Here is a 12,667-nt window from a genome sequence, read left to right on the forward strand (position 1 = left end):
TTGGTAGGGAAAGTAATAGTAAATTTGTTCTTTCTTGGTTAAATAAAGAAGAAAAAGAAAGAAGAGAGGGAGGCAGGGAAAGAAATAGAAGACATAACAATCCTAAATATGTATCCACCAAACAGGAGAGCTGCAACATATGTAAAGATAAAAAAACAGAACTTTAAAAAAAAATAGACAAATCCACAATTACTTTGGAGACTTCAAAACTTCTCTCATAATGATTGATAGAACAACTAAACAGAAAATCAGCAAGAATGTTGAAGAACTAGGCCGGGCGTGGTGGCTCACACCTGTAATCCCAGCACTTTGGGAGGCCGAGGCGGGCGAATCATGAGGTCAGGAGATCAAGACCACCCTGGCTAACACGGTGAAACCCCATCTCTACTAAAAAATACAAAAAAATTAGCCGGGCGTGGTGGCGGGTGCCTGTAGTCCCAGCTACTCTGGAGGCTGAGGCAGGAGAATGGCGTGAACCCGGGAGGCTGAGCTTGCAGTGAGCCGAGATCGCGCCACTGCACTCCAGCCTGGGCAACAGAGCAAGACTCTGCTTCAAAAAAAAAAAAGAGTGTTGAAGAACTCAAACATCTTCAGCCACCAGAATTCAGTTAACATTTATAAAACAGTCCACACAGGAAGAGCAGAACACACTAGTCAAATCCACACTGAATATAGGTAAAGGTAAAACATATCCTGGGCCATAAAACAAACCTCAACAAATTTAAAAGAATTAACTAATATGGTATAATCCCTGACCAAAATGAAATTAAAGTAAAAATCAGTCACAAAAAGACAGAAAAATGTCCAAACGCTTGGAAAATGAACAACACACTACTAAACAGTTCATACAACAAAGAGAAAACCTTAGTAGATATCAAAAAATAAGGTAGCATGAATAAAAATGAAAATACAATATATTAAAAATTCCAAGATATCCTAAAGGAGTGCTGAGAGAGAAATATACAGCACTAAGTGCATACATTAGAAAAGAAAAAAGTCCCAAATCAGTCCTCTAAGCTCTTACTTGTAGAAATCAGGTGGGAAAAAGAGCAAAATAACCCAAAGCAAATAGAAGAAAGGAAATAATAAAAAATAAAAGCAGAAATCAGTGAAATGGAACACACGCACACACACACACACAAAAATAGAAAAACAAACAAAAAGCTAGTTCCTTTCAAGGATCAATAAAAGAAGAACTCTAGCAAGATAGAAATTTTCAGCAGAGAGATGACACAGTTTACCAACATCAGGAATAAAAAGAGGACATCACTGTAGACTCAGCTGACATCAAAAGGATGAAGGAGGCTGGGAATGGTGGCCCACGCCTGTAATCCCAGCACTTTGGGAGGCCGAGGTGGGTAGATCACTTGAGGTCAGGAGTTTGAGACCAGCCTGACCAATATGTCAAAACCCCGTCTCTACTAAAAAACAAAAATTAGCTGGGCATGGTGGCAGGCGCCTGTGATCCCAGCTACTCAGGAGACTGAGGCAGGAGAATCGCTTGAACTCAATAGGCGGAGGTTGCAGTGAGCCAAGATTGCACCACTGCACTTCAGCCTGGGTGACAGAGCAAGACTCCCTCTCACAAAAACAGAACAAAACAAAACAAAAACAAACAAAAAAGAAATGGTAAATCCAACCCCACCCCTGACATAATGCAACTACAAACCCCACTGGCTGTCCTACGTGGTTTAAGTTTTTGATTGAGAATAGGCAAGGAACCCCAGGAAAAAATCTTCCCCCTCAGCAGCCACCTGATCCTGGGACCTCCTTCTTAAACTTCTAGAACAGTGCTTCTCAAACTTTAGCATCAGAGTCACTTGAGGGCTTATTCAAACACAAGAGGCTGAGCCCCATGCTCAGCAGTTCTGATTCAATAGATCTGAGGTTAGGCCTGGAATTTAGCATTCTGCTTGCAGCACCCTAATTCCCCACCCCTTGCTCTCCTGTGCAGTGTCCGCTGTGGCTGACATGCCGCTGTTTGCCTGGAGAGAACCAATAGATGCCAGGAAATTAAAAAAGAAAAAGTATGAAACACAAAGAAAATACATGACACGTGGGTATTACCTTCCTCCAAAAAATGTATCTCAAAACAAACATGTGATTGGCCTGGGGGCACACACACAGCCAGTCCTCAGCTAAGCAGGTTTCACTAGACCGTATCCCTCCTGGATGCTAGTTATAGATACTTTCACTGGACAAAAGAATCAAGAAGTAAAGACATGCCAGCCTGATAGAGTGTTAGGCTGGTGGACTGGGAATAAACATTGTAGTTTCTTGTCTCTCAAAGACACTTTAATTCAACAATAAATAAATAAATATGTACAGAGAGAACAGCAGTTTTGAAACTGTATACCATTGGAAACCTTTAACAGGTACCATGAGTGCATAGAATTTCTTGGGAGTTCCCTTTTCAAAAAAAGCAGTTGTAATCAGATGGATCGAGAAAGAACATGAAATGTTTGTTTGGTTTTTTCCAAGGCAGAAAGCGCCCACACAATTGCGATCTACTTACCTTTTACTCTGCATGTATTTTCCATTGTGACAGAAAACCTTTCCCTGGTTTTTTCTTATGGGCCTCTGTTTGCTGTTACCAGAAGTTCCCAGGCAATATTACAGTGACTGAGGAAATGCAGGAATATGAATATGAATCAGTCTTATGGAATATCAGTAGGGAATGTTGATCCGTATTAGTTTTTGCTTCTTGCATGTTGAAGGCCTCTAATTCCCGGACAGTCTTCGTTTGGCCGTCCAGCGTCCTGCCACTCCTATCTCAAGTGGCTAGAGAGCCACAGCAGTCCTTGTCTCAGTATTGGATCGCACTTATGTCCCTATGTAGGTTGACAGGGAGAGACTGGTGTAGAAATGAGTGGACAGATGCTTTCGCTCTGTTCTTTGGCCCAGAAAACAAAAATAACTTAAAAAAAAAAAGATGCCCACTGGCATTTTTCTCTCTTCTTGGTCTTTGCGTCTCTTTAATCATAGTACAAAATGGAAGGCCGGGCGCGGTGGCTCACGCCTGTAATCCCAGCACTTTGGGAGGCCGAGGCGGGTGGCTCACGAGGTCGGCAGTTCAAGACCAGCCTGACTAACATGGTGAAACCCCGTCTCTACTAAAAATACAAAAAAATTAGCTGGGCGTGGTGGCGGGCGCCTGTAATCCCAGCTACTTGGGAGGCTGAGGCAGGAGAATCTCTTGAAACCGGAAGGCGGAGGTTGCAGTGAGCCGAGGTGGTGCGACTGCACTCTAGCCTGGGCAACGAGAGCAAAACTCCGTCTCAAAAAACAAAACAAACAAACAAAAACAAAACAAAACAAAACAAAATGGGAGCGAACGCAAGCCGCCTGTGAATGTTCATGCTTTTGTTTGGGTCAGGAGACCACTGTTGCGATCCTGTTCTTTCCCCCTCGTTACTTTTTTGTCTTCCTTCTGCTGTCGCAATCGCCTTATGTGATGTTGAGGCTCACAGCATAGAGGTTGGAGATAGTTCAAGGCAATGCATTGGAGTACATTTTTACTTACTATATGTGCAGAAATAGAATAGAAAAATGTGAGGAGGCAGAGGTCTGTCGCTTGAGAACTGCCAGAGGGAAACCATCACTTGGAGGTGTCGGGGATCGAACCGAGGCCTCATACATGCAAAGCATGCGCTCTACCACTGAGCTACACCCCCTTACTATAACACCCATTTGTAATAATTTTCAGGAGGTAACTTTCATTTTCTGAGACTCCGTGAGCATGCTGGTAATAGTGGTCAGTACCATAGAGCGTGGAGAGCTACTCTGAGCAGGAGATACTTGGTACTAATGGGGGATACAGATTCTTTAGAATACTGTGTAGGACTTGAAACGAAAAACGAAAGATTAGAAAAGTGTCAGATAATAACCACAAGAAGTTTCCTTTGTGGCCTGAAGACGTTGAGTTCTTAGGGTCTGCTTCTATTATGCTTGGCAAGAATCAAGTTCTGATTTTCGTTTCTTTTGATTTCTTCCAGATATAACACAAAGCCATTGAAATTCAGCCTTTTCCTGCCTAAAACGCTTCATAATTGTTGTTTGCTCAGTCGGAATATCAAAGGTAAGATTTGATAGAGGAAAGCCATGATCAGAAGAAAACCTGAGAGCGGTGCACTCAACATTTTTTCACAGGGGTCCTTAGCTGGCGTGGTGTCTTACTCCTGTACTCACAACTCCAGAGGCTGAGGCACGAGGATCGCTTGAACTTGGGAGTTAGCGATTGTAGGGAGCTATGATTGCACCACTACCCTCGAGCCCGGACAATGGAGTGAGAAAAGCAAGCAAGCAAGCAAGCAAGAGAAAGTGGGAGTGAGGGACGGAGGGAGGGAAAGAGGGAAGGAAGGGGGGAAGGAAGGGAGAAAGGAAGGAAGGAAGGAGAAAGAGGGAGGAAGGGAAGGAAGGAAAGGAGAGAGAGAGAGAAGAAGACGGGAGGTGAGGGGAGGGAATTCATAAGGCATAAATGAAAACCAGCTTTGGGGGTGGAGATGAGGGTTGAATTATGAGAGTAAGACGAAAGATAAATAGAAACAGGATTGAAGAGTAGTTCAGAAAAACAAACATGCTATTGCCAAAGACAAGCAGGCACAGAAAAGGGGAGGTTTTAACAACTCTTTCAGGAATGGGAGAAAGATTGAAAGATGGAGAAGATGAGTTAGTTTGGCTCATGCTAAATTTAAAATATCTGTGGGGCACGCCTGTGAGGATATTACACAGAGAACTCAGGCAATTAACTCCGTCTCCAGCCTGGGGTTTGTAAGCATTAGTAGTAGTAGACACATTACATGGAGGTGGATAAAGACTAAAAAGTGTACTTTGAGATATGGAAATTACAAACCTATTCGTGATATTTGTAGGCAACAAACAAGTTTTCTTCTAACTAGTTCTCGAATCTTGGGACTTATCACGGTGAGACTGGATTCTTTGAACTATATAAGAAGATGAGAAGAAAACCCATTTCTCGGAACCAAATTTCTGGTGACGATTAACTCTTTCTCATTCTGGTTTGCCCATATATGAGCCTTTGCCAATGTTAATAAAATAACATTGATCCATTTTAAAATTGGCAGATTGCAAGTTGTATGGCAGACTTGGCTTTTCAGTTGGCTGACGGGATTTCTAGAATAAAAATAGGAAACTGAGTAATAGGTTTCACTGAATGAGAGACTAGAGAAGCGTTACACACAAAATTCATATGTATTCATGTGTGTGCGTGTCTGCCTGTCTGTGTCTGTTTGTGTGTGCATGTAAATGCTTGGGAGGATTATCTTGACTCTTTGATGCTGTAAAAGCAATATTAGGACAGTTTGCAGAAACACTCCTTCATCCTTATGTCATGTCACAGCCAGAGAAACCTGGCTGTCTATCAGATTCTTGGGAATTCATAATAAGAAGATATGCTTTTTTGTTTGCCACATGAAAGGGGGGAATTTAAAATAATTAAATATCCATATCTATCTTCAGGCTATCTACCAACAACATGATTGAAACACTTTTTTTTTTGCGTATAATGTGTAGGATGAGCTTATTTATCACAGCATTCTTCTGAGGAATTAAACATTTAATTTTGAAGACAGAACACCCTCACGTCATACATACTCAGTTCTGAAAACCTAAAAATATATAAAGTACCTGTTTAAATCTGCACTTTCCAATATGGTTACCATTAGCCACATTGGCTATTGAATGCTTGAAATTGCCCAGTCCAAGGTAAGATGTGTTGTAAGTATAAAATATATACCAGATTTCAAAGATGCAATATCATTTTTAATATAAAATAACTCACTTATAATTTTAAGATGGATTACTTAAAATAATGTTGTTATACAAGGCCATTTACGTATATTATTAAAACTGGACATAAAAGACGGAAACAGTAAACATCGGGGACTACTAGGGAGTAGCTGGGAAGGGGAAAGGCTTGAAAAGCTAACTATTGGATACTATGCTCACTACCCGGGTGACAGGATTAATCCCACCCCAACCCCAGCATCATGCAATATACCCATGTAAGAATCCTGCACATGTACCCCCTGAATCTAACATAAAAGTTGAAATTATTTTTAAAATAATATAGAGACCGGGCTCGGTGGCTCACGCCTGTAATACCAGCACTTTGGGAGACCGAGGTGGGCGGATCACCTGAGATCGGGAGTTCAAGACCAGCCTGACCAACATGGAGAAACCTCGTATCTACTAAAAGTACAAAATTGGGGCCGGGCGCGGGGTCTCACGCATGTAATCCCAGCACTTTGGGAGGCCGAGGCGGGCGTATCACGGGGTCAGGAGATCGAGACCATCCTGGTTAACACGGTGAAACCCCAATTCTACTAAAAAATACAAAAAATTAGCCAGGCGTGGTGGCAGGCGCCTGTAGTCCCAGCTACTCGGGAGGCTGAGGCAGGAGAATGGCGTGAACCCGGGAGGCGGAGCTTGCAGCGCGCGCCACTGCACTCCAGCCTGGGCGACAGAGCGAGACTCCGTCACACACACAAAAAAAAAATTAGCTGGGGTGGTGGCGCGTGCCTGTAATCCCAGCTACTCGGGAAGCTGAGGCGGCAGGAGAATCGCTTGAACCCTGGAGGCAGAGGTTGCGGTGAGCCGAGATCGCGCCATTGCACTCCAGCCTGGGCAACAAGAGCGAAACTCCATCTACAAAAAAAAAAAAAAAAAAAAAAAAAAAAGATATAGAATAAATATTGCCTGTTTTTTTTAATGTGACTACTAGAAAATTTAGAACTACAAAAGTGACTCGCATTTATGACTTGTGTTTTTTTAATTATTTTTATTCCGGAAGATAAAGTAGAAGACTTGTATTATCTTTTAATTGGACAGCATTGTCTAGAGATGATGTTATCTCTTTAAATGCTGTTCTGGGAGATTCCCAGAGCCAGAGAACATGGAGCATGGTCTCCCAGTAATTAAGTTTCATGCCTTGAGTGTTCTCGACAGAATGCATTTCTATGCATAATCTCCTTAGATCTTTACAACATCCAATTTAACATAATTATTATTAGCTACATTTTTAAGCTATTGAATAGAAGACAAATCATGCTTGGAATTACCCTAGACCTTCCCTTTCAACAGAATGTAAAGGAATCATTACCGTGTTAGGCAAGAAAACATTCAGTGCTACCATTTGACTAATCAAATATTTCTTAATGAAATGAAACACAAGCTTCTGAGTTGAGAAAGCCTCAGTGACCTAAAGGATAAAGTATCTGATTTACAGTTTCTGTAGAGTCAGTGTCCTCACCCTGAGGTTTCTTCTCATTTGGTACTAATTTTCCTTTTTCAACTTGCTGCAGTTCTGATGTTGAAGTACTGTAGATTGTTTAGTCTCCTCACACAGTATGCAGGAGTTAGGGGAAAATAACTCTCAAAATGAAACAGCAATTTGAAAGAAAAAAGGAGGGAAAAAAAAGACCCATTACCCCCAACACAGTATTTCAACAGAGAAGTTGAAGTGGAAAAGGGAAAATGAGGCACATGCACCTGAATCTTGATGACTTTGCTGCCCATTTGCTTTCATTTTCAGTATTCTAAGGCCCCTCATGAATGTCTGACAGAATAATTCATATACAAGTACTTGTTTTTGTTCTTTCCTGGATTCCAACACAGAAATTAGTTAAGATTTGGAAATTCTGGACAAGGGTGCCAGGCTTCCTGTCAGTAAGAAAACTTAGAATATTCCTGTAATTAGGCCTGGTGTGGTGGCTCAAGCCTGTAATCCCAGCATGGTGAGAGGCAGAGGTGAGCCAGGATTTCCAGAAGAGCCAGGGCAACATGGTGAAACCCAGTCTCTACCAAAAAAATTAAAAAAAAAACAAAACCAAAAAACAAACAAACAAACAAAAAGCCAGGCTTGTTGTTGCATTTCTGTAGTCTCAGCTACTCAGGAGGTTGACATAGGAGGATCGCTTGAGTCCAGGGAGGCTGAGGCTGCAGTGAGCTGTGATCATACCACTGCATTCCAGCATGGGTGACAGAGTGAGACCCTGCCTCAGAAAAACAAAACAAAGCAAAAGTTATTTTTCCAGCAGTTTAACTGCGGAGCTATGGAGTTGACTCAAGGTACAAACCCGGTTTTTTCTAATTGCAAAATGTTTCTTGAATATACCACCACCACATATATACACTCATACAGTATAATAGTTCTTCTTCTACAGGTTTCTTCACATTTCTTGTGATTTAAAAACACCCCCGCCCAACACACATAAATAACATCAGATCAGAAATGAATTGTAAGTGCCACAGCATATAGCATATTGGAATTTCTTAGGTTTTAAAAGTAATAACTTGCTAGGTTTAAGACTTTAAATAATTTACGTCCTGTCAGTTAACACTTCATGGAAGTCTTCAGTGGAGAGAGTGTTACAAATATATATATATATATGTGTTTGTGTGTAAATATATATATATAGATGTGTGTGTGTGTGTGTGTGTGTGTGTGTGTGTGTATACATTACCTTTATGGAATTTTCAGAAAACAGCCAAAAAAAAGAAAAAAGAAAAAAGAAACAAAAAAACCACAAACACCTGGAGTTATATATAGACCTCTGGGATTGGTGCGCAAGCGCTGTGTTGAAGGAGTGACAATTATGCTAAAACCAAAATGCAACTGCCGAAACCCGGGATTGAACCAGGGACCTTTAGATCTTCAGTCTAACGCTCTCCCAACTGAGCTATCTCGGCCACCGTGATCCTACTGCTTTTGTCATTTCTTCAAAATACAGAAACTGCCATTTGTAGGGTCAGTGTATCTTCCAACGCCTAATTCTGTTGTCTTCAATATCACCCGTCATTCACTCACCTCCCCTCCACCCAAGAAATATAAGTTCTGCTGCAATTTATGTGTGAAATAGGATCCAATTTTCCCCAGCAAAAGATGGGAAAGAAAAGGCGAGGAATAGGTCAAATGAGGAAGATACTCCCATGCTTGGTCACCGTATAAAACACTGCTCAGAAAACTAAGGAATTCAAAATGAAATTATGTAGGCATTTCCTTTTCTCTTTTTTCGGATTTTCTTTTTCTGGCTTGCTCTTCAATGGCATGTCATAAAGGAACAGAAGATTAGTGGACACTTTAACACGGTAGTGGGCTTATAGCTTCCGAAAAAAGACATCCTGAGCGAGGTAGTTCTTTTTTTCTATTTTCTTCCTTTTACCAGTCTTGTGCTCACACATCCACCTTGGGTGGTACGGAGACCCAGGGAGTGAAAATGGAAAGTATAATATGTTTGTTTGTTTGTTTCTTTGTTTCTTTGTTTTGAGATGGAGTCCCGCTCTGTCTCCCAGGCTGGAGTGCAGTGGCACGATCTGGACTTAGTGCAACCTCCGTCTTTCAGGTTCAAGCGATTCTCCTGACTCAGTCTCTTCCAGTAGGTGGGATTACAGGCGCGCCCCACCACGCCCAGCTAATTTTTTTGTATTATTAGTAGAGACGAAGTTTCACCATGTTGATCAGTCTGGTCTCGCCTCGGCCTCCCAAAGTGCTAGGATTACAGGCTTGAGCCACCGTTCCCGGCCTATTCCTTGGAGTTCAGAGAATTGTGGTCTGCACATTGATGCATAAGAATTGTTTTTTTTTTTCCAGCTGGGTGCAGTGGCTCACGCCTGTAATCCCAGCACTTTGGGAGGCCAAGGCGAGCAGATCGCCTGAGGTCAGGAGTTGGAGACCAGCCTGTCCAACATAGTGAAACCCCATGTTGTCTCTACTGAAAACACAAAAATTAGCCCCGCGTCGAGGCGCGCCCCTGTAGTCCCAGCTACAGAATCTCTTGAACCCAGGAGGCAGAGGTTGCAGTGAGCCGAGATCACACCACTACACTCCAGCCTGGGTGACAGAGCAAGACTCCATCTCAAAAAAAAAAAAAAAAATTGCTTTTTACATACACATCTGTAATCATGAGATTGTATTTATTTATTTTTATTTTGACAGTGTCCCACTCTGCCAGACTGGAGTGCAGTGGCAATCTCCTCTCACTGCAACTTTCACCTCCTGGCTCAATCAGTTCTTCCACCTCAGCCTAGAAGTTTTATATCAATTCAAAAGTGTCAAGACATTGGACTCCTCTTGATAAATAACTTAAGAACAATTTAAGACGTTTACAGAATTTCAGAAACAGTTCTCTCTGGAATGAGGGAATTGCTATGGCCAATAATTACTTGCAAACTGAATTTTAATAAAACCCTCTCTATGTCTGGACAGTTTTCAAACTGAGTCTCCTATTCTGAAAGAGTCAAGGCTTTCAGTTTTAGCCAAAATTTGATGGAAGGGTCGATAAGAAATTGTTCTTGAAGCCAGGAGTGGTGGCTCACGCCTGTAATCCCAGCACTTTGGGAGGCAGAGGCGGGTGGATCACCTGAGGTCAGAAGTTCGAGACCAGCCTAGTCAACATGGTGAAACCCCGTCTCTACTAAATGCACATAAATTAGCCAGGCATGGTGGCGGGCGCCTATAATCCCAGCTACTCAGGAGGCTGAGGCAGGAGAATCGCTTGAACCCGGGAAGCAGAGGTTGCAGTGACCCGAGATCGCACCACTGCGCTCCAGCCTGGGCAACAAGAGCGAAACTTCGTTTCCCCCCCAAAAAATTGTTTCTGGATGATTAGATGATTTCCTAAAAATTAAATAAATAAAATTTATAAAATTATGTTCGCTTTCAGTCTTTGTCTTGTCCTCCCGCTTGTAAGGTCCGAGCCTTCTCAGACAGGAAACAACATTCCTCTGGGTTTATCCCCTCCGCCTCACGTCTCTCCCCAGCTGGGCGCAGCCTCAGCCTATGCTGCAGAAATGTTAAAAGTTGAACATACAGAGAGGAAAAAAATGGAACGTGATGCGGAAATTAAAACAGCAGCTACATATAAATCTCAACACAGTGCTTAAAATGTGTGTAAATGGTTCTAGGACTGCGCTGCACTATTGTGAAAAGTTCATTCAGAAGTAAATGGGAGGGAAGGTGGAGAGGAGCTGAGCGCCAGCTGGCGGAGAGAGGGAAAAGGAGGGGTGCCGTGAAGTGGAGGAAGAAAAACACAAATGGGAGAGAGATAGAGGGCAAGGAAAAGCATCCTTAAGATGATTCGGACTTGGATGGACGGGACCGTAGAGTGAATCTAAGCGCCACATCTCTCCGTCGCTTCCTCTGGCCGTGAGGGAAGAGAGGTGTCCCTAGGGAGGTAGGCTGGACCAGGAAGGAGACCTGGTTCGTTTCGCCCAGGCTGTCACGGCTTCAAGAGCGCCTCTCCGCTATTTCCGTCGCTCGACAGACGGGCTGAGCTCTTTGGAGTGATGTTGGGTTTTGGTTTGCGCCTCAGGAACCGCTGATACCGTAGCTTCTGAGGGAGCTTCAGGGATTGCCTGGCTTCCTAAGTGCCCGTGTTGAGAGTTAGAAGCGGGATCTGCCGGCAGCTAAGAGACTGAGCATGACGGCGGAAACATCTAATTTTATTAGTTTTTGCTTAAAATGCAAAAGATGAGAAAAAGTTACCGTTTCTTTGCTCCATATATATCTCCTAGAATAAAGCCAATCGAAAGCCAACTTCACCCTAAAGAAACTCTTCCTGGCGTTTGCAACGAGCTCCTTTACTCCTAACGTCCAGCTCTTGGCTCAGGACCTGCAGAGCGTCACAGCTGTTGCAGAAAGGCGAAGTCGAGGTACAATCGGTGTTAACTACGTGTGCAGCCACCGTCTTCTTAGTCCTGTTACAGGTGCAGAGGCAATATAAGTGAACCACTCACAAGTCGTGTGGGCTGACCTCAGATTGAGTTTAGCGATGACTTGTGACCACCTGGTAGATGGTGGACCGTTACAGCATTTAGAAAGTGAGTAAAAGAAAGGATGCATACGGAAGCCCACACGCTTGCTTGGCTCCTGCAGATGGATAGAGGTCACTTTTCTGCCTTCTGGGTGTTTAGTAACTTATTTTTTTTTTTGCTTTGTTGGCATGAAATAAAGATGAAAATAAAAGCAGATTTTCTTTTAACAAGTTAGTATTAACATGCTTGCAGAGTATTTCCCTGTGGATTTCTGCTTAGTACTGTAATACCAGAATCAGAAACTCTACAAAGAGCTCTCTAATCTGGAGGTATGGGTTGTTCCCTAGCTTAGAAGGAGGTTATTTCTGGAGAGTAAGTACAATCAGGTAGAAAAGGATCCGTTGGGCTTGGGAGAATAAACGTTCATTACTTTTATTTATGAAAAACAACAAAATGAGCTTTCTCCTATACTGATCTTGTTTCCTGGAGTTCAGAGTATTTGCATCTCAGACCAGAAACTTCCTTGAGGACCCAGAGAAGTACTTTTTACTTCCACCAAATTTCAGCTGAGGTGACTGCTATCTTTTCATCATTTGCCTTGTGTTTGTAGTTAAATAGTTTAAGTTTCAAACTATGTGGGTCTCTAATGGAAAAAGTGACCACCAGCACATCAAATCATCAACCACCGGCAGTGTAATCTTTTAGTGAAAGCTTGTAGGGCTTCTCAACCTGGTTAGAGGGAGTTAGAAGAAGAAACAGAAAAGGACGTGAGCCTTTTTAGCTTCTGATCTGAAATCAGACTTGGGCCACACAGTTCTATGGTTTCTGATGATTTCATTTACAACTAGAAATTGGTTGCATGGCCAGGAATACTGCTTGCTTCCCTCGTGCGTGG

At 42.6% G+C, this 12,667-nt stretch overlaps 2 non-coding genes across 2 annotated transcripts; both read right to left on the reverse strand.

Annotated features, from left to right (window-relative positions):
- Positions 1–3,603: 3,603 nt before the first annotated feature.
- On the reverse strand, positions 3,604–3,674 carry TRA-TGC7-1 (tRNA-Ala (anticodon TGC) 7-1). Its single transcript has one exon. It is a non-coding gene; the product is annotated as a tRNA-Ala (tRNA).
- Positions 3,675–8,636: 4,962 nt separating this feature from the next.
- Positions 8,637–8,709, reverse strand: TRF-GAA3-1 (tRNA-Phe (anticodon GAA) 3-1). The gene has a single exon. It is a non-coding gene; the product is annotated as a tRNA-Phe (tRNA).
- Between the last annotated feature and the right edge of the window lie 3,958 nt (positions 8,710–12,667).

This window comes from Homo sapiens, chromosome 6 (assembly GCF_000001405.40).
Source record: "Homo sapiens chromosome 6, GRCh38.p14 Primary Assembly".
In the NCBI taxonomy this organism is placed as follows: Eukaryota; Metazoa; Chordata; class Mammalia; order Primates; family Hominidae; genus Homo; species Homo sapiens.